At 48.5% G+C, this 27,213-nt stretch overlaps 1 protein-coding gene and 1 pseudogene across 4 annotated transcripts, besides 4 other annotated features; one reads left to right on the top strand and one right to left on the bottom strand.

Moving 5' to 3' along the window:
• Nucleotides 746-27,122, bottom strand: UBIAD1 (UbiA prenyltransferase domain containing 1). 4 transcript variants are annotated; one of them, NM_001330349.2, is made up of 3 exons: nucleotides 26,260-27,122; nucleotides 14,588-14,676; nucleotides 746-5,447 (listed from the first exon to the last, which is right to left on the bottom strand). In NM_001330349.2, the coding sequence occupies exons 1-3, from the start codon at nucleotides 26,786-26,788 to the stop codon at nucleotides 5,430-5,432; spliced, it is 636 nt and encodes a 211-aa protein (NP_001317278.1). In that variant the 5' UTR covers nucleotides 26,789-27,122; the 3' UTR covers nucleotides 746-5,429. The 4 variants fall into 4 exon arrangements, with proteins under 4 accessions (NP_001317278.1, NP_001317279.1, XP_047274683.1 ...); XM_047418727.1 differs by lacking the exon at nucleotides 746-5,447 and adding an exon at nucleotides 6,702-6,853; NM_001330350.2 differs by lacking the exon at nucleotides 14,588-14,676.
• Nucleotides 10,979-11,161: a silencer, noted in NCBI's record as "fragment chr1:11349216-11349398 (GRCh37/hg19 assembly coordinates)". NCBI's record gives its function as "represses an EF-1alpha promoter that drives an FKBP-Casp9 reporter gene in an ReSE screen in K562 erythroleukemia cells {active_cell/tissue: K562}" and the evidence as "EXISTENCE:reporter gene assay evidence [ECO:0000049][PMID:32094911]".
• On the top strand, nucleotides 21,045-21,906 carry UBE2V2P3 (ubiquitin conjugating enzyme E2 V2 pseudogene 3; annotated as a pseudogene).
• Nucleotides 26,854-26,903: an enhancer, noted in NCBI's record as "active region_167". NCBI's record gives its function as "activates an Ori minimal core promoter by ATAC-STARR-seq in GM12878 lymphoblastoid cells {active_cell/tissue: GM12878}" and the evidence as "EXISTENCE:reporter gene assay evidence [ECO:0000049][PMID:35858748]".
• Nucleotides 26,994-27,163: an enhancer, noted in NCBI's record as "active region_166". NCBI's record gives its function as "activates an Ori minimal core promoter by ATAC-STARR-seq in GM12878 lymphoblastoid cells {active_cell/tissue: GM12878}" and the evidence as "EXISTENCE:reporter gene assay evidence [ECO:0000049][PMID:35858748]".
• Nucleotides 27,164-27,213: a silencer, noted in NCBI's record as "silent region_263". NCBI's record gives its function as "represses an Ori minimal core promoter by ATAC-STARR-seq in GM12878 lymphoblastoid cells {active_cell/tissue: GM12878}" and the evidence as "EXISTENCE:reporter gene assay evidence [ECO:0000049][PMID:35858748]".

The following is a 27,213-nucleotide window of genomic DNA, read 5'->3' as shown; positions in this document are numbered from 1 at the left end:
CACAAGAATCACTTGAACCCAGGAGGCAGAGGTTGCAGTGAGCCAAGATCACACCACTGCACTCCAGCCTGGGTGACAGAGGGAGACTGTGTCTCAAAAAAAAAAAAATTGTAAAAGTTATTAGATGTCTTCAATGGAAAACCAAGCATTGTTTGGAGCAGAGCCTTCCTGCTATTTGACTCCTGGCTGGGCAACATGGCAAGACTCTGTCTCTACAAAAATTAGGCCGGGCATGGTGGCTCATGCGTATAATCCCAGTACTTTGGAAGGCCAAGATGGGTGGATCACCTGAGGCCAGGAGTTTGAGACCAGCCTGGCCAACATGGTGAAACCCTGTCTCTACTAAAAATATAAAAATTAGCTGGGCATGGTGGCACGCACCTGTAGTCCCAGCTACTCGGGAGGCTGAGGCAGGAGAATCACTTAAACCTGGGAGGCAGAGGTTGCAGTGAGCTGAGATCGTGCCACTGCACTCCAGCTTGGGCAACAGAGAGACTCTGTCTCAAAAAAAAAAAAAAAAATCCATCAAACTGTGAAGACCCCTGAGACCCTGTCTCTGATGGAGCCCCTCAATCCTACCTCTTCCCCCTCTTCTCCAACATCCAAGGCCACCAGCATGACAAGCCGGCCACATGCCTGGGCAGCTCAGAGGAGCCATGGGAAGGGTTAAGGGAAGGAAAGGCAAGGAGGAGAGGCCGGAAAGAGGGTGGGAGATGAAGACAATAACAAAAGAGGCAGCTGTGAGTCTTTCAACATTTTAAAAGAGATTGAAATTGAAAACGAGAATTATAAAAGGCAACCGATCACGCTTTGCTCCCCCCTTCAAAAGAAAGAAGTGTTGAAAATGAAAAAGACTGTTAACCAAATGAGTGCTGCTTTTAGAGTTGGAAGAGAACCAGTCCAGGCCATGTGTGGTGCTCCTGTGCGGTGGTTGTGATCCCGAGCAAGTCACTGAACCACTCAGCCCATGAAACAAGCCGAGCATGCACCTCTCAGGGCCATAGGGAGGCCAGCGTGAGAAAAGCACGGAGAAAGCTTCAGTGAACCCCAAGTTGCTGCCCGGATCCAGCGTCTGGTGGCTCTCACTGTGACTGTGGTTAGGCGGCCTTGACATGTTGCTGTCATGCCCGCCACTGAGAGAAACAAGGGAATGAGTATCAAGGATGACCCAGGGCAGGCAGTGGGGTTTCCAGGGCAGGGCCTCTCCTGGGGAAGCCCATCTTCTCCCACCTCTCATGCAGTGAGATTGGCTGCAGCCACTGTGATGGCCTAGGGCATGGATTACACCGTGCTCTGCCCTGCTTGACTGACTTGGTTATCTTCGCTCCTCACCATCCCCTCCCTGTTCCTTCTTGGAAATGGAATGGCTCTTCTCAGCACAGCCACCCAGCCCCTGCACCCAGCCTCTGTGCCAAGCTGGCAGGATAACGAATGGCTCCACCTCCTCCTCGCCTCCGTCAGGAGGGGCTCTGAGCAACCCTCTGCTCACAGCCCTCTGTGGTTTCCCCTTATCCTCCTTGGAGCTGCATGGAGACTGCTTGTCTAGACATTGAGATGGCTTTACCAGGTGTCGCTCACTGCATTGGGTTCCCTTCACGTTCAGCACCTACTGAATACCCAGGATAATAACTGCACCACTGCGGGGTGCAGGAGGTGTCCCCAAATGTCCATAAGTGTACACACATATGTGCACACATGCACATGGGAAACTTTTATTTATTTATTTATTTATTTATTTATTTATTTATTTTTGGAGACAGGGTCTCATTCTGTCACCCAGGCTGGAGTGCAATGGCACAATCTCAGCTCACTGCAACCTCCACCTCCCAGGTTTAAGTGATTCTCCTGCCTCAGCCTCCGGAGTAGCTGGGATTACAATATGTGCCACCATGCCCGGCTAATTTTTGTATTTTTAGTAGAGATGGGTTTTTGCCACATTGGCCAGGCTGGTCTCAAACACTTGACCTCAGGTGATTCACCTGCCTCGGTCTCCCAAAGTGCTGGGATTACAGGCATAAGCCACTGTGTCTGGCCCAATTTTTTAAAATATAATAACAACTCTGGTGGGGAGCAATGGCTCATGCCTGTAATCCCAACACTTTGGGAGGCCAGAGTGGGTGGATCACTTGAGGTCAGGAGTTTGAGACCAGCCTGACCAACATGGTGAAACCCTTCTCTACTAAAAATACAAAATTAGCTGGGCATGGTGGTGCATGCTGTAATCCCAGCTATTCGGGAGGCTGAGGCAGGATAATCGCTTGAACCCAGAAGATGGAGGTGGCAGTGAGCCGAGATCGTGCCACTGCACTTCAGCCTGGGCAACAAGAGCAAAACTTCGTCTCAAAAAAAAAACAAAAAAACAAAAAACAATAATAGTAAAAGTAATAGTAACAACTCTGGTAAAACAGACATCAGATGTTTTCCAGTTTTCTTCCCTTGTTGAATGAACCTGGACTGCAGCCCAAGGGGATGTTATCTTTCCCTTGTACCTAGAGATTCCTAAAGCCTCTCTGAAGGACAGGCCACTCACAGCCACATGTAAGACCACCTGTCTCTCCATCCAGGACTTCTTCAGCGCATTCTCAACTGTCAAGCCTCCAGGGCTGTGAAGCATTCGAATGAGAAGTCACCTTGACAATCTTTGACCCCAAGGCCAAGACCCCAACTTTTTCATAGTCACCCCACCAGGATTCTGATCTCAGCACAGCCAGGCTTGGCTCTCCTGACAGAAGGGCTGCAGATGGGTCATCCTTTGGTTTCTGCATGGAACTTATCCTGGTGCCAGGGCAGAGCCCCTCGGAATCACCAAATGGACACCCCCACCCCCATACACAGAGTGCCATTCAGGCTACTATAGCAAAATACCATTAAACTAGATGGCTTATACACAACAGAAATGTCTCACAGGTCTGGGGGCTGAGAAGTCCAAAACCAAGGCAGATTTGGTTTGGTGAAGGCCACTTTCTGGTTCATAGATAGTGCCTTCCAGCTGTGTCCTCCCATGGAGGAAGGAGCAAGGCAGCTCCCTGGGGTCTCTTTGATCAGGGCACTAATACTCTACCCATGAGGACTCTACTCTCGTGACCTAATCACCTCCCAAAGTTGCCACCTCCTAATACAATCATGTTGGGGATTAGGCTTCAACATAGGATTCAACATTAGGATTCAACATGAATCTGGGAGGATACAACATTCAAACCACAGCAGAGAGTTTCACAATGAATAGTTGTTTCTTTTCTATCTCCCTTACTATCATATAAGCTCTGGGAGCATAGAGATCTGGTCTTGTTCATTTTCTATGTTTAGTTTTAATACAGTTCCTGGTACTTATCAGGTGCTCAATACATGTTTGTTGAATGAATGAATGAATGTACCAGGCACTGTGCTGAGTACTGGGAAGAACATGGACCCTCAGCCATGGGCCCTCTGCCTTGGTAGGAAAGTCTAAGATTACACAAAAAACAACATTCTAAAATAGTCATCCATAAGAAAGGAAAGGGGGCTGGAAGCAGTGGCTCAGGCTTGTAATCCCAGCACTTTGGGAGGCTGAGGCGGGCGGATTGCTTTAGCCTAAGAGCTGGAGACCAGCCTGGGCAACATGGTGAAATCTTGTCTCTATAAAAAATACAAAAATTAGCTGGGCATGGTGGTGCAAGCCTGTAGTCCAAGCTACTCTGGAGGCTGAGGTGGGAAGATCACCTGAGCCCAGGGAGGTTGAGGCTGCAGTAAGCCATGATTGTGCTACTGCACTCCACCCTGGGCTACAGAGTGAGATCCTGTCTCAAAACAAAGGGGGGGACAGGGGGAACTCACTTTATGAAGTGCCTACTACTCACCAGGCACATGCTAAGTACTCTGTGAGCACTACCTCATTTAAACCCAAAATTACCCTACAGGGCAAATCCTATCATCCTCCTTTGCAGAGGAGGCACCGGAAGCTCAAAGAGGTTATGTAGCTTGTCTGAGGGTATCCCGGGGGTGAGTGATCGAGCCTGGACTTCTACCCACCCAGTGCTGCCAGACTCGAAAGCCCAAACTCTTTCCACTTCACCAGTCAAGCTCCAGGAGTGATATAAGGTGTGCCTGTTTGTCTGTCTGTCCTCTGGAGAGTGTAAGTTTCCTGAGGACAGGGATAAGGTCTCATTTACCATGATACCTCCCAGAGCTTAGCAAGTGCCTGTAACATAATACTTGTTCAATAAATTGACTGGTCTTGCAGCCACCTGCAGATGGCATCAGAGGAGATCTAGTCATAGATAGTGAATTGATCGCAGTCTGGAACAATGGGGCATGGAGAAGTTCATCTCTTCTGCCCTCATTTCCCCACAGCCTTTATGCCTCTATGTCTCACACATGGCTGTGAGTGGCCTGTCCTTCAGAGGGGCTTTAAGGATCTCTAGGGACAAGTGTCTATGTTGACACTTGAGGTGGCAGGATAATGTATGCATGTAGCTTTTGCTATTAGTTCACTGTGTGTCCTCAAAGGGCAGGGGTGTGCCTCGTTTATCTTGCCTCCTGGGACAGAGCAGGCTCTCAGTAAAGGTCTTTGGCCAAGGCAAGTGTCAGCTGGAAGGCCCTCATTGGTGACCATGGTGACCTCTGACCCCCTCAGCACTTCCCCTGAATCTGAGGGCCTCCCACCTGGTATTCCCTTGGCCTCAATGTGGCCCAGGGCTGAGGGGCTCCCCTGACTCGCAGGAGACTTGGGCTCAGCGCTCCTGCTTCACGGGATGCTTTCCCTGGCCTTGTCTCTCCAGGCCATTCATCTTGATTAGGTATTGGCAGCTGTGGATGATTAAATGCCCCGCCATTCTCTCTTGTTTGTTTCTCAGCAAGGAAGTGTCGGAGTTTTCATTCTGCAGAAGGCTTTGACCTTGGCAGTGGTCAGAGTGCCCTTGGCACACCTGCCTCAATGCTCCAGTTGTCTAACTGCACAGCCAAAAGAGGCTGATTAAGGAAAACTTCGAGTCTTACTCTCTCAGGCAGCAACAGGGGGGCTTTCTCCAGCTGGGGGAATTGAGCTGTCCATCAGCACCTCGGTTTCCATGGAACAGTCACCTCTTATGGCCACCTCTTCCTAGAAACCTTGATCGCCGCTCATTGTCACCTCTTCCTGGAAGCCTTCCTGATACCCAGCAGCCCCATCTCTACCTTGATGTTCTGTGGTCGTTGTTTATTCTATGGTTCACGTGTGTCAACTTCCTCTCCCTCCACACAGCACACTGAACCCGAAGAGTTGAGTATCCTGTGTCCTGAACATGCATACAATTGTCAGCTCCAGATGCTGCCCACCCCGAGGCAGGAAGGGGCTCACTTCCCTCTCCTCGAAGGTGGCCAGCCCCATTCTCAGGAGGCAGGTCTAGAAGGCAGGTCACTAGGCAGTTTCTGGGAGCTTGAGCACTGGCTGCTCCTGATGTGGGCACTCTGCTTCAGTGGCTAGATGAGGACTGGAAGAGACGAGACGAATGAGGACAGACAGATGAGGGGACAGGAGCATAAATTTAACCTGAGACTGAACCTTCGCCTCCATCATCGTGGGTAGGCAGGAGCCACTCTCCATTATCTGGGGATGGGCAGACTTTGACTTGTAACTTTCGCCCAGCCAGCCAGAGTAGGTTAGACCAACAAGCTTAGTTACTATCCCCACAGAGCTGGCCCCTGGGGGTGTTGGTAGGAATGCCACCAGCCAGGAAGCAGCCATCCCACCCTGATGGGAACCACCTCTGTGGCACTGGCACATGGGCCACCTCTGTAGGCCTATAGCTGGCCCCAACACTCACACACTTGGGAGCGGCTAAGGGCAGACCAATGGATTGAGTCCCTTACAAGCAAGGAACTGCAGGGCAAGAGAGATGAGGGGCAGTTTGTAGTGAAGGCTGGGTGTGGTGGCTCACACCTGTAGTCCCAACGCTTTGGGAGGCCAAGGTAAGACTGCTTGAGGCCAGGAGTTTGAGACCAGCCTGGCCAACATAATGAGACCCTGTCTCAATTTTTTAATTAAAAATAATAATAATAAAAGAACTTGCACTGAATTAGAGCAAGATTTGAATCATGGTTCTATCACTTACTAGCCAGATGACCCTAGACAAGTTTAATAATCTCCCTGAACCTCAGTTTCCTCTCTTATGAAAAAGAGACCTTAATATCCAATTCGTGGGGTTGTTATGAGCACTAAAAGAATGTATTTAAGCATCAGAACAGTGCCTGGTCCATAGTGAGCATTCAACAAATGACAGCTTTATTACTGCCATTCCCTCGGCCAGTCATCCAACGTTTATTTATTTAGAGACTTCTACGTGCCAGGAATATGAGCTGGATCTTAAAAGCTCTTAAGAGTACTGCCATGGGGCCAGGCACAGTGGCTCATGCCTGTAATCCAAGCACTTTGGGAGGCTGAGGCAGGTGGATCACCTGAGATCAGTTCGAAACCAGCCTGGCCAACATGGTGAAATCCCGTTTCTACTACAAATACAAAAATTAGCTGGGCATGGTGGTGGGTGCCTGTAATCCCAGCTGCTTGGGAGGCTGAGGCAGGAGAATCGCTTGAACTCAGGAGGCAGAGGTTGCAGCGAGCCGAGATCGTGCCATTGCACTCCAGCCTGGGTGACAAGAGCAAAACTCCATCTCAAAATAATAATAATAATAAGTTACTGCCATGGTTCTCCTCTACTCCCAACCCCAAGTGGAACTCACCTGTCCTTACTGACAGCTGATGTGATGCAGTGGTCCAAACTCTCACACCTGTCAGTCAGCCCTGGAGGGCCCAGCCCTTCCCATGTAACTCAGTCATTCAACAACCAGTTACTGACTGCCTGCTCTGTTGCACCATGCACTGTGCTAGTGCTGAGATGGGCTGGAAAAGAAAACATGGTCCTTATACTCTAGTCCTACCACTTACTGGGAGAAATTGACAATAAACATGTTGGCAAAATAATAGGTGAGTAACACATGCTATGCTTTTGTCTTCCCTGTTAAACCCATTTGTGATCCTAATGGGAGGCAATTCTAAGCCAAGCTGGGGGAGACAGGGGCCAGGATATGGCAGGACCGTGGGAGTGCGGAATTTGGAGGACCCCTTGAATCACACCACACAGAGCCCTGCCCCTTGGGATCCCTTAACATCATAGAAGCGCCCAGACCAACTTGTGATACCCCACTCAGCCTGGTTGGGAGCATGTGATCAAAGCCCTCACTGTTCCTCCCAGAGCTCCAGCATCTTCTGAAGTGAGTCTGTGCCTTGCAATTACAGCCTTTCCCTGACCCCAGGAAGCCGTTTGCAAGCCTCCTGATGAGCCCAGACTCAGCCTTTGCCCCCTCCTCAGGCAGGAACCCAACTTGGTTTATACCACCATTTGCCATCCTAGCTTAGTCACTCACAGTGGGAGGGCTGTCCCAGTTTGAAGAAGGGCAGGTCACAAATGTCAACTGGCTGGAACCCAAGTGCCAGGTTCTTGCCAGAGGCATTCCTTTTACACCAGCCTGCACAGTCTGGAGCCCATAATGAAAGAGGCTGACAGTCCATTAGCAGCAGAGTGGTCCGCAGGGCTCAGAGAGGAGCTGTCATCCCTCTCACTTCAAGGGCTTTCGAGGTGAAATCAACTCTGTGAGTGTGTGTGTGTGTGTGTGTGTGTGTGTGTGTGTGTGTGTGTGTATACATAAAATCTTTTAAAAAAAGAATATCAATCACAGCTGTTCCTGTTAAGATGGCCAGACAGTCAACAGTCTGACATCAAGAAGAAATGTCAACACGGCTCTTGTACTCTGTCCTCCCAACCCGTGGGGCAGGTCTGAAAGACTATCCCGTAATAACAGAACAACTGAATCACAGGATTGGAAGACCCTTAGAGGTCTTCTCATCCAACGCCTCTCTGATGCGACTCTTCACACCCATGTTCCTGACGAGGAATCATCTTTTCGCTTGAATGCCTCTAGTCACAAGGAACTCACCCCCAACTGAGACATTCTGAACATCCCCCTCGCTGATTCCTCTAATGGCTAAGAAACCTTCCTGATCTGGCCAGGTGTGGTGGCTCAAGCCTGTAATCCCAGTACTTTGGGAGGCCGAGGCAGGTGGATCACCTGAGGTCAGGAGTTCAAAACCAGCCTGGCCAACATGGTGAAACCCCATCTATACTAAAAACACAAAAATTAGCTGGACATGGTGGCACACACCTGTTAATCCCAGCTACTCAGGAGGCTGAGGCAGGAGAATCGCTTGAACCCTGGAGGCAGAGGTTGCAGCGAGCTGAGATTGCACCATTGCACTCCAGCCTGGGCGACAAGAGCGAAACTCCGTCTCAAAAAAAAAAAGAAAAAAGAAAGAATGAAAGAAACCTTCCTGAGCTAAGAGCTTCAACTTGGGGACATATAACTTCTACCCATTAGTCCTAGTTTTACCCTTTGAAGCCACACGCAAAAAAAAGTTTTAAAAAAAAAAGTCCAACCCGTCTTCCCGAAGACAGCCTTCTTGTGACTCTCCTTTCCAGGCTGACATGGCTTTATGTGCCCCCACCCATCTGCCAACCGCATTCAGGACAAGATCCACTTTGTTGATAACATCTTCAAAGTGTGGTTCTTACACTGAGAAATGGAAATCTCTACTGCAGCCGTTACCAATGCAAACACACACGCGTGCACACACATGCATATAGAAAGCAAGCTCCTGTAATTGTCTTTTCATCCATTCCATATTTCTTTTTTTTTTTTTTTTTTTGAGATGAAGTCTCGCTCTGTCACCCAGGCTGGAGTGCAGTGGCACGATCTTAGCTGACTGCAATCTCTGCCTCCCGGGTTCAGGTAGTTCTCCTGCCTCAGCCTCCCGAGTCGCTGGGATTACAGTTGTGCACCACCACGCCCAGCTAATTTTTGTATTTTTGTAGAGACAGGGTTTTGCCATATTGGCCAGGCTGGCCTAGAACTCCTGAACTCAAGTGATCCACCCACCTTGACCTCCCAAAGTGCTGGGATAACAGGCATGAGCCACCGTGATTGGCCCCATTCCATATTTCATAGCATGTTGTCAAATGCCTTGCTGAAATCCAAGTATATTATATCCACAGCATGTTCTTGATCTCTCACCACACTGATTCTATTAATATCTAGAGAAAAGAAAGAAGGCAAGAAAGTGCCCAGGACTGGCCCCAGCCCAGCATGAGAAGAATGACAGGGATGGGCAGAATTTCTGCCTTCCTTATTCTGGACGCTAATTCTCCTGTTAATTCTAGCTCAGATCATATTAAATTCTAGCTCAGATCATATTAATCTGCATGGAAGTTGGAGCTCATTACTGACTCAGACTAAGCTTTGGCCCAGGTCAAAGGCTCAGGTGTTGGTTATTTTATTTATTTGTTTATTTAGGAGACACAGTCTTGCTCTGTTGTCCAGGCTGGAGTGCAGTGGCGTGATCTCGGCTCACTGCAACCTCCGCTTCCTGGGTTCAAGAGATTCTGCCACCTCAGCCTCCCAAGTAGCTGGGATTACAGGTGCTAATTTTTGTATTTCTTTGTAAAGACAGGGTTTCACCATGTTGGCCAGGCTGGTCTTGAATTCCTGACCTCAAGTGATCCACCCATCTCGGTCTCCCAAAGTGCTGGGATTACAGGCGTAAGCCACCACACCTGGCCTGGTGGTTTTAATACAGGAGTAACGGAAGCGTTAGTAAGACAACATAGGATATATTCATATCTTTTCCCACCCGACTCCAGAAGTCAGCACCAAGCTTCCAAAGGTGCCCTGAGTGGGATTCAGCACAAAGGTCCTGCAAAGCGTAGAGAAGAAGGGAAATGCTTTGAGTAGGGGAGGTGGATGGAGCATTATCATAGGTAGAGTGGTAGTGCTCCAAGACTGGGCAGAAATGTGACTGGAGTAGCAGGATCTGTGCCCCACTGGCACTTGTCACCAGGAAGGGGCTTTATGAACCCTTCTAGAGGAGCAGTGTCCAAGACAAGGGCAGATTCCAGGGCCAAACCCCAGCATCCAGTAGCAGAGAGGTGACCTTACAGATGGTAAGCAAAAATCCCTGGCTCTGGCCCCACAGAGGCCAGGAGTTCTGGGTGATCCCAGACATTTGGGAGGGTGCTCAAGAGGTAGCTGGCATTGAATTTTCAGCCACCTGCCTGGGGAGCAGAATAAATCTGACTCCAAGAAATAAAGGCAGCCAGGCACGGGGGCTCACGCCTGTAATCTCAGCACTTTGGGAGGCCCAGATGGGTAGATAGCCTGAGGTCAGGATTTCGAGACCAGCCTGGCCAACATGGTAAAACCCCGTCTCTACTAAAAATACAAAAATTATGCCAGGTGCGGTGGCTCACACCTGTAATCCCAGCACTTTGGGAGGCCAAGGCGGGTGAATCTCAAGGTCAGGAGTTTGAGACCAGCCTGGCCAACATGGTGAAACCCCTTCTCTACTAAAAATACAAAAAATTAGCTGGGCATAGTGGCGGGTGCCTGTAATGCCAGCTACTCAGGAGGCTAAGGTGGGAGAATCGCTTGAACCCAGGAAGCAGAGGTTGCAGTGAGCCGAGATTGCGCCACTGCACTCTAGCCCGTGCGACAGAGTGAGATATATATAAAACATATATATACAAAAATTAGCTAGGTGTGGTGGTACGTGCCTGTAATCCCAGCTACTGGGGAGGCTGAGGCAGGAGAATGGCTTTGAATCCGGGAGGCAGAGGTTGCAGTGAGCCGAGATCACGCCACTCCATTCTAGCCCAGGCGACACTGAGACATAGTCTCAAAAAAAATAATAAATAAATAAATAAAGACAAGTGATGTCAGATTCCAGTCACTGAGAAAACTCATACCCCCCTATCTCCATGGCTGTCACATCATGGCTCTCCCCCTCTCTGATGTTTATGCTGTTGATTTTGGGACCTTAGTGTATTGCTTTGTATTTATTCACACTACATTTTTCTTTTGACCCATCAAAGCAGCCTTTTGATTTATGAGGCTCCTAATTGTCATTTTGTAAGCTCTTCCTCCAAGGTTCATGAAACCTTTCATTTTGGCTGCCTCATCCGCGTCATTAATAACAGGTGTTGAATCCAGCGGAGCAAAGGGCAGAGGACAGGGCTCCAACTGCTACTAAGGGCTCCTTCCCAGCTGCCACTGACATGCTGATCAGTTAGCTCTCTCCCACCGCCTGCTCAGTCTCTCAGGAATTTATCTAACTCCACTGTTATCCATCCCACGTCTCTCTGCCTTGTTCATAGGATATATTGTCCAATGCCTAGCTGAAACCCACATGTACTCAATCTACCTCATGTTCTCCATCTAGCAGCACAGTGACCCTATCAAGAAAAAGAAAAATGAAACGAGGTTAATCTGGCCTGACTGCTGACTGGCTCTTGGCAAATCCACTGTAGCTACATGCAGCCCTCAACGTTTTTTGTTTTGTTTTTTTTTTTGAGACAGTGTCTCGCTCTGTCGCCCAGGCGGATGTGCAGTGGCGTGATCATACCTCACTGCAGCCTCGACCTGCTAGGTTCAAGCGATCCTTCCACCTCAGCCTCCTGAGTAGCTGAGACTACAGGCATGCACCACCACGCCCAGCTAACTTTTTAAAATTTTTTTTGTAGAGATGGGGTCTTACTACGTTACTTAGGCTGGTCTCAAACTCCTGGGCTCAAGCAATCCTCTCACCTTGGCCTCACAAATTACTGTGATTACAAGCGTGAGCCACCATGCCCAGTCCCTGCTGCCTTTTCTAAAGGCCTGTCGAATCTGGTCAAACCCTACCCAAACTCATCACCAAAGACCAGGTGCCCCTCTGCACAGCCTGAATGTCCAATGTCACTGCCTTGGTCTCCCTGAGATTTACAAATCAGAGTTCACAATCAGACAGTAAGTATGAGGAAAGCAAAAACCAGAAGCCAGACCATTGGTGAACATTTTCTTTCTTCTCTTTTTAATTAAGAAGTCTAAAGAAAACCTTCATTGACTCAGGGAACATAATACAAATTATGGTGACCTGCGTATAAAACCTGGCAACAAATTTGGCCTTTGGGAACATTTATATATAAAAATATGCATTAAAATCCGCACCAGGGCACAGTGCAGAACTGATAGCCCCGATGGGAGTGACCACCAAGGCATACGTGGTCCGTGGACGCAGGGAGCCCTTGGTCCTCCTGCCTCAGGGTGAGCCCTGCATGAGAATGGCCTACTCCAAGGAGAGGTCAGAAGGCAAAACCCCTGTGAGCACCAAAATGCCACAAGCCTGGTGTGAAACAAAAATGGTGCTGGGAAGGACTGGGGAGAAGGTCATCTTTCTTCCCCTTGTCTCTGGGCTCTGCCCACTATTAGAAGATTCTGGCTCTCTGCTAGACAAACCACCTTTGATTTAACTTTAGAGGAACTTTTGCAATTTTCTTTTTCTTTTTTTTTTTTTGAGACGGAGTCTTGCTGTGTCCCCCAGGTTGGAGTGCAGTGGCATGATCTCAGCTCACTGCAAGCTCCGCCTCCTGGGTTCACGCCATGCTCCTGCCTCAGCCGCCCAGGTAGCTGGGACTACAGGCGCCCGCCAACACGCCTGGCTAATTTTTTGTATTTTTAGTAGAAACGGGGTTTCACCGTGTTAGCCAAGATGGTCTCGATCTCCTGACCTCGTGATCCGCCCGTCTCGGCCTCCCAAAGTGCTGGGATTACAGGCATGAGCCACCGCGCCCGGCGGAACTTTTGCAATTTTCAAACATGTTTTTTTCCAAGTAAACCAATCAATTCGAACTCAAGGTTCCATATCATCATTAGCTTGATCTGAAAGATTAAGAACTAGTTCTTACATCATTTTCTGCAGGCCATGACCTTAAACGCCTACTAGAATGGCTATAATCACAACAGAAAACAATGATGACCCATTTCCAATCTATAGTCCTGGATCAAATGCAACTGAGCAATTCTGGCCCAGAAATTATACTTCACAGACAATGCAATGAAACGCAGCCAGGATAAATGCTGGAATTGCCCCACTCTGAGTGTGATCTCACTAAAGCCCTCAACTATCTTTCCACAAAGCCCTGGGGAGAGGCAGGGTCAATATTGCACATCTGTCTTCAAGGATGAAGACACAGCCCCTTAACTGGCAGGGCCCATCACTCTGGCTGAACAGAGCTCAAGACTGTTTGTCCACTGGCTATTCATTCCCTGGGTCCCTGCTCTGCCCATCCTGTGGCTCTGTGGAAAGTGGCAGCTGTCCCTGACTCGCTGCTAAGCTATTGCTCAGTCTGGCTCCACAGATGGGAAACACACAAATGGGAACACCACAGAGGTGGAGAGGTGGAGGGTAGGTGTGGGGAGCATCAGAAGATGCAATAGGGAGGGAAAAGCCCTGTGGGCTTTGAGTATCCCACAAGGATGGCAGTGCCTCTACCGTTTCAGGGCTCCTGATAGTTACTGAAAGGGCTGGGAGTCCTTCCTGTCACTCTAGTAGATTCAACAAAGGGAAAACAGCCACCCTACTGATTCCTATCCAAAAGCAGTGATTTTCTCAGTTGCCTCCAGAGTGGTTTTTTTTTCCCTCCCAGTCCTTGGCTTGTCTTGCTGCAGGGTAATCTGACACTTTTCCTCAACTGTGGCAATAAGTGAAAGGAGAGAGAACAAAAGCATCTGAATCACAATTTAGGCAAAAAGCTGACAGCCACACAGGCTGTTAATGAGGGACTCTCTCTGTCTCAGGCAGCGTATCTCAGGACACAGGTGCTGAGAATAAGAGACAGGTAGCCCCTGTGTTAGTGAGGCCTGGCACCAATCATAGCACATCCTACGAGACGAAGAAAGCAGGACAACACTCTGCCTAGTTATTAGGGTCTTTTCGGGACAGGAGGCCAAACTGGGCAGCTCCTTTACAAAGTCTGGAGACATTTTGTACAGAACAAGGAGGAACTAAGTCCACTTCACTGCAAAGTGACCTGAGAACACCCTCTAGTGGAAATTATTAATAAAACAAAGACCATGCGCCTAATTCACCTTCTGATACAAGAATGGTTTTTAAATTCCCCATAAAATGGAAAAAACAAAAAACAGAAAAACAACATATTATCTTTAAGAACACAAAAACAATTTTTATAAGGCAGGAGTTCCCACCCATGCTTAGTACCCTGACTGCCAAATCACATTCCTTCCTCAGAGACTCTGACTTTAATATATTCTAAGAAAGGGAGACATGTCGTGGGGGGAGCTACTTGTCCCCTTAAATTTTGGGCAGACTGCCTGCTGGTGCCAGAATGATGCCAAAGACATAGAAAAGTCCCAGCAGGAGGTTGAGCTTGGCAGTCCTCTGGGGCAGTTTGTTGAAGGCCTGGCTTCGAAACTGTCTCTCAAGGGAGAAGGCCATGGGAATGGTAAGCAGGGGGAGTGCCAGGCTGATGGTGCAGTGTGTGGCCAGGATGCTGAAGACCAGGTAGGGCAGGAAGAGCAGTGTGTTGTAGAGAATGTAGGAGAACGTGGGGCCGATGAGGATGGCCAGCGTGACGATACCAGCCTCCCGGTCGGACTCCATGTCCCTGGTGTTGTTGGAATGGAGAATGGCCTCGGTGCTGAGGGCGAGGGGGATGGCATAGACCAGTGGGAAGATGGCCAGGGACCCCACCTGGATGGCGTAGGCGAACATCACAGCCAGCGGGCCAAAAGTGATGAGGATGATGAGGTCTCCCAGAGCCACGTACTTGAATCCAATTCCTGCGGCCAGAAAATCCAGAGAGTTGGTGTGAGACCAAGGCTGGAAATTTAGGGACTGTTCACCAGTGAAGAGGCAGGCCACTTCCGGCTGAAAATGGTAAATCCTTAGACTGTGCAGGTGGGCACTCATTTCATCCCTTAACCCCACAGAGCAAATTCTGATTTCTTCTCCAATGCCACAGGTGCAGAGAGAATGCCCAGTGAGGCCTCAAGTCCCTCTTCCCAGGTTCATACCCAAGTTTCCCTTCCTACTGTCCCCCAACAGAGCTCTGCAACATAGCACACTAGGCACCCACTATACTCTTAGTTCAATGGGAGAGCCCAGGAAGGATCTAAAGGTCTTAGAATCCAGTTCTTTGCTATCTTTCACCCTTCACCAACCCCTGCAAGACCCCGTGAGATCAATCCCTCACAGAATAGCCACTCTGGCCTTCTACTTTTCCACCTCCTTCCCCTACAATCTCAAGGCATCTTCTGGTTTTAAAAACGGCCAGTGAATTTCAGTGAAATTTCGGGGTCCTTAAACCTGCACCCCTGCGATAAGCAAAACAGCGAGGACAGGAGAGTTATAATGCTGCTTTCCTCCTCTGTCTCCTATGAGATTGAAACTAAACCACCCCTACCTCCTGTTTCTGTCCTGCTCATCTACTTCAAAGCCTGTCTAACCCACTTCCTTCAAAACTATCCATTCTCTCCATCCCCGGGGCCACCCTCCATCCCCCTTACCAAATCTACCTCATGGTCATCTTATGCCTGGGATACTGCAACATCCTCCAAACTGGTCTATCAGCTTCCCCTCTCATAACCCCTCCCCCTCTCCATCCCTAATCTAATCTCTAAAAAGGCGTTAGAGTGAACCTTTAAAAATAGGAATCTGGCTGGGTGGGCACAGTGGCTCACACCTGTAATCCCAGCACTCTGGGAGGCCAAGGCGGGCAGATTACCTGAGGTCAGGACTTCCAGATCAGCCTGGCCAACAGGGTGAAACCCCATCTCTACTAAAAATACAAAAATTAGCCAAGCGTGTGGCACACGCCTGTAATCCCAGCTACTCGGGAGGCTGAGGCAGGGAAAATGCTTGAGCCTTGGAGGCAGAGGTTGCAGTAAGCCAAGATCATGCTACTGCACTCCAGCCTGGCAGACAGAGCAAGACTCTGTCTCAAAAAAATTAGTAAATAAATAAATAAAGGAATCTGACCACCCCCTCCCCCAACATACACTTAAACCCTTATCAACCACTCATCCTGGGGATAAAAGTCCCAGATCTTTAACCTGGCTCACCTGTGGCCCAGCCCTACCTCTCCTGCCTCACCTTGAGCTCTCCTCCCCTCTTCACACAGACTTCTTCCAATCCGTCAGAGCCTTCAGACACCCCTCCCTTGGCCTGGCTAACTCTACTCACCCTTTAAGACTTTAAAGACCATTCCCCAGGACCACCTCCTCTCACCCCTAAGCCACATTTGATCCCCTTGCAATATGCTCCCATGGCAATATGCCTGCCATGTTCATAAACTTCATCATGCTTCTAATTAATCTCCACCTTTCTCACTAAACTGTAAGTTCCATGAGGGCAGGACATGTGTCTGGCTTGGTCACAGCTCACTCCCCAATACTTGGCACAAGGGCTGAACTGAAGACAGAGCTACAGTAACAAGCACCTGGAATTTGGGATCAAGGTCAGGAAAGATCTCCCACTCAGACTGAAACAGGTAAAGCAGTATGGAATGAGTGGAGCTGCCCACTGAGGGAGGTGACCCATGCAATTATTGCTACAGAAGCTTAGCAAACTCCAGTTCTAACCAAGCTACAAGATGTGGACTCAAGATCAGAAAATAAAGCTCTGGTTAGGCATTTTAACCAGTCTAAAATGACAGAAGTTCCCACTAGCCACAGGAATCAAAATGAAATAAAATGACAGGAGCTAAGGAACAAGATCCAGTCCAAGTTCACCTTCACATCAGCAGCTGGGGTCCCTTGGTGCTAAATACACACCCTTAGTTCTTCAGAACAAAGTATCTCCAGGGAAGGGCATTAAGGCATGGCCACTGACACTCTTCAACATTCAGCAAGCTAATTCTGCACCCTCAAGCCATATTTTTTTTCCTTCTATTTGGATAATTTTTATACCAAGCCATGTTTTCATAAATAATTTGGTTGTATGAGGACATGCCCTCCAGGAGGAAGTTCCCTCAAGCAGAGCACGAGCTCCAGTTCAGAATTAGTAAATTGACGTCTCTTCCAATATCTCACACATTTAAGGGACTACACCCACGCAAAGATGATGCTGGGCAGGAATACTCCCAGCACAGACCTAGCCAGTTCCTCTACAGCTGCCCACTCTTGCTGTGCTTGTTTTCTCAGCTCCCCAAGTGACGCCACTGGTCTGGCTGTGAAAGAAAATGCAACAGCACTACAGCCTTGACCTTTGGCTGGAGTCTCCAAGAACACCTCCTTAGATCACTCGGCAAAAAGCAATGTAAGCGGCCAGGTATGGTGGCTCACGCCTGTAATCCCAGCACTTTGGGAGGCTGAAGCAGGTGGATCACCTGAGGTCAGGGGTTCGAGACCAGCCTGACCAACATGGAGAAACCCCATCTCCACTAAAAATACAAAAAATTAGCCGGGTGTAGTGGCGCATGTCTGTAATCCCAGCTACTCGGGAGGCTGAGGCAGAAGAACCGCTTGAACCCTGGAGGCAGAGGATGTGGTGAGCCGAGATCGTGCCATTGCACTCCAGCCTGGGCAACAAGAGCAAAACTCCGTCTCAAGAAAAAAAAAGGCCAGGCACAGTGGCTCACGCTGTAATTCCAGCACTTTGGGAGGCCACAGCGGGTGGATCAACTGAGGTCAGGAAGTCAAGACCAGCCTGACCAACACGGAGAAACCCCATCTCTACTAAAAATACAAAAAAAAATTAGCCGGGCATGGTGGTGCACGCCTGTAATCCCAGCTACTCGGGAGGCTGAGGCAGGAGAATCGCTTGAACCAGGAGGCAGAGGTTGCAGTGAGCAGAGGTCGCACCATTGTACTCCAGCCTGGTCAACAAGAGCTAAACTCTGTCTTTTGAAAAAAAAAAAAAAAAAAAGTGATGTAAGCAAGGTTGAGCAGAGATCTCTGTCCCCACCCCAAAACCAAGAGCAACCCACTCTGGGGAGGAAAAAGATCTGGTTATCTGACACAAGAAAACAGTAGAGCCCTTGGGGAGAAAGCTGTTTCCTAGCATTTGATACATGGCCCAAGGCTTCATGTGCTCTACCTGATTCAGAGACGTGGCCCATCTGGGAATTTCCTTTTAGGCATTCCTCCTCTCCCAACCCCATTTTCTGAATGAGCTTACACAGTGAAATACTGGGCCGGTTCTCCACACGGCAGCCAGAATGAATCTGTTAAGACTTAAGTCAAAAAGTTGGCAAGACGCAGAGCAACTGGAACACTTGCTGGGGGGAGTGTAAAGAAGTACAACCACTTCAGAAAACAGTTTGGCAGTTTCTCATAAAATTAAACATCATCTGCCCTGTGACCCAGCAATTCTACTCCTGGGCATTTACCCAAGAAAAATGAAAACAAATATCCACAAAAAGACTTGAACATGAATGTTCAGACGTAATAGCCAAAATATGGAAGCAATCCAAATGTCCCTGAAAAGGAGAATGGATAAAAAGAAGTTGTGGTATGTTACAATGGAATGCTAGTCAGCAAAAAAAGGAACTACTGATACACGCAATAAAACAATGAATCTCAAAAACATCACGCTGAGCAAAAGAAGCCAGACGAGAGCTCAGACTGAAATAAATACACATACATACATACATACATAGTTCATAGTGAAAGGTTCCATTTATATGACAGGCAAAACTAATCTCTGTGAGAGGAATCAGAACAGTGGTTCTTTTCCTGTCTCTGGATGGGGGCAGGGAGTGTGGGATTGACAGGCAAGAAGCACTGGGAAGCTTTTGGGGGTGATGGAAGTGTTCTGGATGATGACGGGGTGTGGGTTATGCAACTGTATACATTTATCAAAATTCATCAAGCTGCAACACTAAAAACCTGTGCATTTCACTGTGTGTCAATTATATGTCAATAAAAGACAATGTTTAAAAAATCTTAAACCAGATTATGTCACTACTCTGCTCAGTATATTTCAATGCCTTCCCATTTGTTCACTGGATATTTACTAAGTAATATTACATGCCAGGCAGTGCTCTGGGTGCTAGGGGTTCAGCTAATACCAGAGACAGAAATCCCTGACTGCAGGGAGGGAGCTCGCAGTCGAAGGGGGAAGATAATTAACCAATTAAGTACTTTATATGGCACATTAGAAGGTAACATGTGCTATGAGGAAAACTAATGCAGAGAAGAGCAGCAGGGGAAGTATCAGGTGGGGGCACGGAGTGGGTGTGTAATTTTAAGCAAGGTAGAAAGCAAGGCCTCACTGAGCAGCTGACATTTGGGCAAATAGGTGAAGGAAGTGAGAAAGTGAACCACATGGTTAGAAGCAGGAAAAGCATTTCAAACAGAGGAAGCTGCATCTACAAAGGACCTGAGGGAGGGGCAGGAGGGGTTGTGCATGCTCCTGGACTAGAAAGGGCAGTGTGGCTGGCCCAGGATGAGCAGGAAGAAAGGAGGAGGGTGGGTCAGAGAACTGGGGGGAGGGCAAAAGGTGGGCAAAGAATGTAGGGCCCTAGGGAGTCACTGTAAAGACCCTGGCCTTTACTCTGAGCAAGATGGGAGCCACTGAAGAGTTCTAAGCAGGACTGACAGGGCTGCCCTATATTTTAACAGAATTACTCTGGTGGCTGAGTGGGAACAGCCTGAATGGGACCAGAACAGAGGTAAAGAGACCAGTTGGGAGCCTGCCGCAAAAATCCAGGGACAGATGATCACAGTGGTGGCTGGACACGGTAAGAAGTGGTCAGATCCTACATGCATTTTGAAAGGAGAGTCAACAGAATTTGCTGATGAACTGGATGTGAGACGTGGGAGTCAAGGACGATGCCCACAGCTTTTGGCCTGAAGAACTAGGATGAAGCTGCCATTGAGCAAAATGGGGAAAAAGCTGTGGGCGAAGCAGGTTTCCTTGGGGAGAAGATCAGAATTTGGTCTCAGACATGTTAAGCTTGAGATGTTTATGAGACAGTTCTAGGAGAAGTTGCTGAGCAAGAAGTTGGATATGAGTCTGGAGTTTAAGAGTCACTAGCTTAACAGATGGCATCTGAAGCCATGAGCTACATCACCAAGGGAGTACATGGAGATAGAGAAAAGAGGCCCAAGGACTGAGCCCTGGAGGTTGGGGAGTAGGACTGGTTAAGATCGCCATGACAGAGACCCTGCCTAACTCACCAACTGTGTCTCATGCCCCCTCTGGCTCACACAGACCTTTCAGTAGATCCTAGCCAATGTCACACTCTCTCTCACCCACCACATTTGCACTTAGTGGTCCTTCAGCCCTGGAGGACTCAGCATCACAATCAGACTCCAATTCCACCCCGTGGCCAGCTCCTTATCCTTCCGTCTTCAAGTCCTAGTTTGAACGTCACTTTCACAAAGACAGCCTCTTCCCTTCACCACCACCTTGTACTTTCTATTACACCACCTCATTGATTTCCTTCACTGAACTTTTTATAATTAGCTGCCAGGCCACCACAGCCTTTTGATTTTCCTCTTACTCCTCTGGATGCTTGCTCACATCCCCTTTACCTGTGCCTTTTCTTCCCCCACCTCTAATGTGGGAGTGTCCCAGGGCTCAGACCAGGACTGACTTTTCTACCAACACTCCCTCCCCCTTGATGACCTCACCCAGTCCTACAACTTTATCTATAGACCAATGACTCCCAGATATGTAATCTCTAGCCCAGGCTTCTCTGAACTTGAACTACCCATTTGACATCTTTGTTAGGAGATTTAATAGACATTAAGATGTCCAAAGTTGGCCAGGCGCAGTGGCTCATGCCTGTAATCCCAGCACTTTGGTAGGCCAAGGTGGGTGGATCACCTGAGGTCAGGAGTTTGAGACCAGTCTGGACAACATGGTGAAACACCGTCTCTGCTAAAAATACAAAATTAGCCAGGCATGGTGGCAGACGCCTGTAATCCCAGCTACTTGGGAGGCTGAGAATCACTTGAACCCGGGAGGCAGAGGCTGCAGTGAGCCGAGATCATGCCACTGCACTCCAGCCTGGGAGACGGAGTGAGACTCTGTCTCAAAACAAACAAAAAACAAAACAAAAAACCACGAAGTCAATTGCTTGCTTTTCCCCCAAAACTTGTTCTATCCCCAGCCTTGCCCTTCTCACATGATGACATCACTCCAGATGGTATCTTCCAGTTCTCAGGTCAAAACCTTTGAGTTATGCTTATGCAGCTATTGATAGGCAATGGTATGATTAACTGGGGCCTTAAAGATGATGAAGATATGACATTTACAAGGTGGACAGGCATGATTATTGGGCCACCAAGGACAAATTATGAAAAGAGAATATAGGCCGGGCATGGCAGTTCACACCTATAATCCCAGAACTTTGGGAGGCCAAGGAGGGCAGATCACGAGGTCAGGAGTTTGAGACTAGTCTGCCCAACATAGTGAAACCTCATCTCTACTAAAAATACAAAAAATTAGCTGGGTGTGGTGGTGTGCACCTGTAATCCCAGCTACTCGGGAAGCTGAGGCAGGAGAATCACATGAACCTAGGAAGCAGAGGTTGCAGTGAGCCGAGATCACGCCACTGCGCTCCCGTGTGGGCCACAGCGCGAGCCTCTGTCTCAAAAATAAAAAAAAAGAATATATAGCCTGAAAATAGAAAGTGGACCCAAATACCCAGAAGCTCCCCCATCAGTTAGATTTGTAACAAGAATTAATATGAATGGAATAAATAACTCCAGTGGGATGGTGGATGACCGCAGCACACCAGTGTTAGCAAAATGACAAAATTCATATAGCATTAAAGTTGTACTTCAGGAGCTAAGACGTCTAATGATGTCCAAAGAAAATATGAAGCTTCCACAGCCACTGGAAGGACAAACATACAACAATTAATTTTAGTGGATCTCAAACTTGTCTTATATCAACAACCTTCTACTCGTGTTAATGTCTTGATTAAATATCACAATGCAAAATACCCACACGTTAAATAAAAGAACTCCGGCTGGTAAACATGACCTGGACATTTGTAAGAATATATTTAATATATGTACACCCATTATGTTTTCAGGTAACAGGAAAAATGCAACCCAATTTTTTTCTCTTGTTAAGGTACTGTCATTTAAACATAAACTTGGAGTACTCGAAATATAATTCAGGTTTACAAGATGAAAGCGTGGTAAGAAGTGTCAGATGGCAGTGGAAGCATGTGTGTTTCTAAAGACTAAAAATCTCAATAAAGAAAACAGGGCTGGGCACAGTGGCTCATGTCTGTAATCCCAGCACTTTGGGAGGCTCAGGCGAGCAGATCACTTGAGGCCAGGAGTTCAAGACCAGCCTGGCCAACATAGTGAAAGTCCGTCCCTACAAAAAATCCAAAAATTAACCAGGCGTGGTAGCACGCGCCTGTAGTCCCAGCTACTTAGGAGACTGAGGTAGGATGATCGCTTGATCCCGGGAGGCAGAAGTTGCAGTGAGCTGAGATCGCACCACTGCACTCTAGCCTGAGTGACAGAGTAAGACCCCCATCTCAAACAAAAAAGGAAAGGAAAAAGAAAACAGAGGCCAGGAGAGGTGGCTCACACCTTTAATGCCAGCACTTTGGGAGGCCAAGGTGGGCAGATCACCTGAGGTCAGGAGTTTGAGACCAGCCTGACCAACATGGAGAAACCCTGTCTCTACTAAAAATACAAAATTAGCAGGGCGTGGTGGCCCATGCCTGTAATCCCAGCTACTTGGGAGGCGGAGGCAGAACTGCTTGAACCCCGGAGGTGGAGGTTGTGGTGAGCCGAGATCGTGCCATTGTACTCCAGCCTGGGCAACAAGAGCAAAATTCTGTCTCAAGAAAAAAGAAAACAGAAATGGCATGCTTTATCCATCTTGCTTAGTGAAAGAGAGCTGCAGTTGAAATTGTTTAAAAAGTAGCAGGTATTGGCCAGGCATAGTGGCTCACGCCTGTAATCCCAGCACTTTAGGAGGCCAAGGAGGGTTGATCACTTGAGGTGAGGAGTTAGAGAGACCAGCCTGGCCAACATGGCGAAACCCCGTCTCTACTAAAAATACAAAAATTAGCCAGGCGGGCACCTGTAATCCCAGCTACTGGGATTATACTTGAACCTGGGAGGCGGAGATTGTGGTAAGCCAAGATCGCACCACTGTACCCCAGCCTAGGCGACAGAGCAAGACTCCGTTAAATTAAAAAAAAAAAAAAAAGTAGCAGGTACAATGAACACTGTCACAAATGTGTTTGATTTTTTTAATTTTTTTTATTTTTTTGAGATGGAGTCTTGTTCTGTTGCCCAGGCTGGAATGCAGTGATGAGATCTTGGCTCACTACAACCTCCCAGGTTCAAGCGATTCTCCTACCTCAGCCTCCCAAGTAGCTGGGACTACAGGCATGCACCACCATGCCCAGCTTATTTTTGTATTTTTAGTAGAGATGGGGTTTCACCATGCTGGCCAGGCTGGTCTCGAACTCCTGAACTCAGGTGATCTGCCTGCCTCAGCCTCCCAAAGTGTTGGGATTATGGGTAAAAACTACCACATCCAGCACAAATGTGTTAATTTTTGAAGTGGTGTGGGTGCTGACTACTAGTAGTATGAAAAATATGTTCAGGATTGTTTTGATACCTATCTTATAATAAAAAATGTTGGGGGGGAGTTGATGAATTTCTGTTAAAAGCTGTTCATGTGTGTTACACGTAACAGACATGGTAAATATTTGCTTACAGTTTTTTTTTTTTAACAAACTATGCACTTAAGGTTAAGTGACATCAACAAAAAAGGGATACATATATGGAGATATAATTTTGAAACTAAAGTTGGTCTTTTTTTTTTTTTTTTGAGATGGAGCCTCTCTCTGTTGCCCAGGCTGGAATGCAGTGGCATGATCTCAGCTCACTGCAACCTCTGCCTACTGGGCTCAAGCAATCCTCCTGCCTCAGCCTCCCGAGTAGCTAGGACTACAGGCACATGCCACCACGCCTGGCTAATTTTTGTATTTTTAGTACAGACAAGGTTTCACCATGTTGGCCAGGCTGGTCTGGAACTCCTGATCTCAAGTGATCCACTTGCCTTGGCCTCCCGAAGTGCTGAGATTACAGGCATGAGGCACAGCACCCAGCCCAAAGTTAGTCTGAAAATGTAAATAAAATGTGGAATGTGTCCAAGAAAAAAAAAAACCTTTGAGTTATGCTTAATTCCTCTGTTTCTCTTTACCTCACATCCAATCCATCAGCAAACCCTGTCTACCTTCAAAGCATATTTAGAATCTGGCTACTTACCTCTTCCACTACCACCCGCTAGATACAAGCCACCAAACATCGCTTGCCTGGATTATTCAAGAGCTTCCTACTTGGTCTTCCTGCCTCTACCCTTGCCCCACTCCCCTTGATCCATTCTCAATACCTTACCCAGAGCAATTCTTTTAAAACATTATATTACATCACTCCCTTGCTCAAAGTCCTGCAGTGGCTCCTCCATTCCAGAGCCAAGACCAGTGGCCTACAAGGTCTATATAATCCGTGTGTGTGCCTCCTTACCCTCCCCAAACGTACTTCTCTTACTTTACCTCTCTTTACTCTCTCCTTCATTCACACACTGGACTTCTTGCTGCTCTGTAAGCTCTTTGGACACATTCCTGCCTGAAGGCCTATGGCACTTGCTGTTGCTTTTCCTGAAATGCTCCTCTCTCAGATATCTGCTTGGCCAACTCCCTCACCTCTTACCTCCTTCAATGTAACTCAACTCAAATACTACCTTTCTGAGGCATGGTCTCACTCTGTCGCCCAGGCTGGAGTGCAGTGGTGTGATCAGGACTCACTGCAGCCTTGACCCCTGGGCTCAAGCAATTCTCCCGCCTCAGCCTCCAAAGTAGCTGGGACCACAGGCAAGCACCACCATGCCCAGCTAATATTTTTTATTTTATATTTTATACAGACAGGGGTCTATGTTGCCCAGGCTGGTGTTTAACTCCTGGCCTCAAGCGATCCTCTCGCTTCAGCCTCCCAAAGGGCTGGGATTACAGACATGAGCCACTGCACTCAGCCAAATGTTACCTTTTTGATGAAGCCTACCCTGATCAAACTACTTAAAATAGTAATCTGTGTCCCATTCTTTGCTCTACTTTTTTTTCCCATAGCACTTATCATCTTTCATATACTATAATCAGGGTGATCAATTCAACCTGACTTACCAGGAACTTTTCTGGTTTTAGCTCCAGAAGTCGCACATCCGACTTAGTCCTGTCACCTTAGTCCTGAGCAAACCAGGATATTGGTCACCCTAACTATAATTTTCTATTTTTACTTTCTGTCTCTTTTCATGATAATACGTAAGTTTCACAAGGGCAGGGATCTGTGACTGCTGTGTTCACACAGAACAGTGCCTGGCACATAATAGGTGCTCAATAAATAGGGCTTACCCACCTGCCCATCACTACCTTAATCAGCCTCTTGCAAGAAGTCACCTAGCAAACTAGCTAGAAGTAATTATCTATATCATTTTGAACTCTTCAGATTTAATTCTAATATTTGAAACTGTGGCATTATAAAGTATGAGTGATTAAAAAAAAAAATGAGACAGAAAAAATGTCCATATAGGCCGGGCATGGTGGCTCACGCCTGTAATCCCAGCACTTTGGGAGGGCAAGACAGGCAGGTCATGAGGTCAGGAGTTCAAGACCAGCCTGGCCAACATGGTGAAACCTTGTCTCTACTAAAAATACAAAAATTAGCCAGGCGTGGTGGCACATGCCTGTAGTCCCAGCTACTCGGGGAGCTGAGGCAGAAGAATCGCTTGAAGCCGGGAGACAGAGGTTGCAGTAAGCCGAGATGGTGCCACTGCACCCTTGCCTGGGCAACAGAGCGAGACTCTGTCTCAAAAAAAATAAAAAAAATTAAAAAATGTCCTGACAGGGCGCGGTGGCTCACGCCTGTAATCTTAGAACTTTGGGAGGCTGAGGCGGGTGGATCACGAGGTCAGGAAATCGAGACCATCCTGGCCAACATGGTGACACCCCGTCTCTAATAAAAATACAAAAATCAGCCAGGCGTGGTGGCGTGCACCTGTAGTCCCAGCTACTCGGGAGGCTGAGGCAGGAGAATCGCTTGAACACGGGAGGCAGAGGCTGCAGTGGGCCGAGATCGCACCACTGCACTCCAGCCTGGGCGACAGAGCGAGACTCCGTCTCAAAAATGAATACATAAAAAATAAATAAAAATAAATGTCCATATAAAATTTTCAGTCATGCCCTACGTCCGTAAGTCAAACCAGGATCTTCTCAAATCACTGTTTCAAAAAATTCACATCACCCACAATTATAGACTTCAATTAAAGCGGCTTAAATTAGAAAGCCACCTTTGACATCCCTATAACTCCTTTACAAAGCAGCGGTTTCCAGTGGACGCGACTAAGACCTGCAGCACACAGGACAGGCCAAATCTTACCTCCTGTGTAGAGAAAGGAGCCAGACAGGCCTCCAAAGTAGATAAGAGCCAAGTGCTCCAGTTTCAGAGGGGACAGGTAGTAGAGGCAAGCGGCACAGACGCAGCCCAACGTGTAGAGGAAGACTCCGAACCGGACGACATCCTGCGGCTCCAAGATTCGGTCCACAAGTGTCCTGTCATCACTCTTTTTGTGGTCAATGCCCTTGGAAAAGTCATAGTAAGTGTTGACCAAATTACCGGCCCCGTGCACAGCCAGGACAGCCACGGCACAACCCACCAAGAGCCTGGGATCCAGGACACCGTGGGATCTGTAGGCAAGGGCACTGCCCAGGGCCACCGGTGTGAGTGAGGCACTGAAGCTCCAGGGCCTCAGGGCCAACACGTAGGAGGCACACTTCTGCCTCCAGGAGCGCTGGGGGAGCCTATCTTGCTCGGGACAGTCGTTCCCCAGCGGGTCCCTGTCCCCAGCTTTGACAGTCTCTCCCGACAGGATGTTAATCTTCTCCCCCAGGACCTGAGAGGCCGCCATGGAAGCTCCACGTGGTTGAAGTAAACTCTAAAAGTGAGCCACGCACAGTGACCGCCCGGGAAGGAGGAAGGACGGGGCGGGGCAGCAGGGCCCGACCTTCCTTCGGTTCCGCCCCAGGACAGGGCTGGTGTGGCGGCAAGGTCCGGGGGCAACAGCAAGTGGGTCTTACACCCCACGAGGCCAAGCGGCGCCGCCCCTACTACCCGTCACCTGGGCGAAGTCTGTCTCCGGCCCCCAGCCCCGCGTTAGAGCCCACGGCTGAGCCGCGGCCGCCTTCTTTAGGCCGCCAGAGCCGCCATCTTGTGCGCCGGCCTCTGGAGGCCCGCCCGGAAACAGGTGCCGGCGGCGCGGGCTGGACCGGAGGGTGGGCTGGAGGGCGGGAGGGGGCGGGGCCGAGCCAGAGGCGGGGAGAAGGGCGGTGAGGG

The sequence above is a fragment of the Homo sapiens genome, chromosome 1, assembly GCF_000001405.40.
Source record: "Homo sapiens chromosome 1, GRCh38.p14 Primary Assembly".
Classification (NCBI taxonomy): Eukaryota; Metazoa; Chordata; class Mammalia; order Primates; family Hominidae; genus Homo; species Homo sapiens.
The sequence above is the reverse complement of the archived record's forward strand: the minus strand, read 5'-3'. Positions and strand labels throughout refer to the sequence as shown.

Excerpts from the sequence above, each read along its gene's own strand:
- UBIAD1 (NM_013319.3), bottom strand. The coding sequence starts at position 26,788 with ATGGCGGCCTCTCAGGTCCTGGGGGAGAAGATTAACATCCTGTCGGGA. Across the intron at positions 14,677-26,259 it reads CTCCTTTCTCTACACAGGAG|GAATTGGATTCAAGTACGTG; the intron begins GTAAGATTTGGC and ends TTCTGGCCGCAG.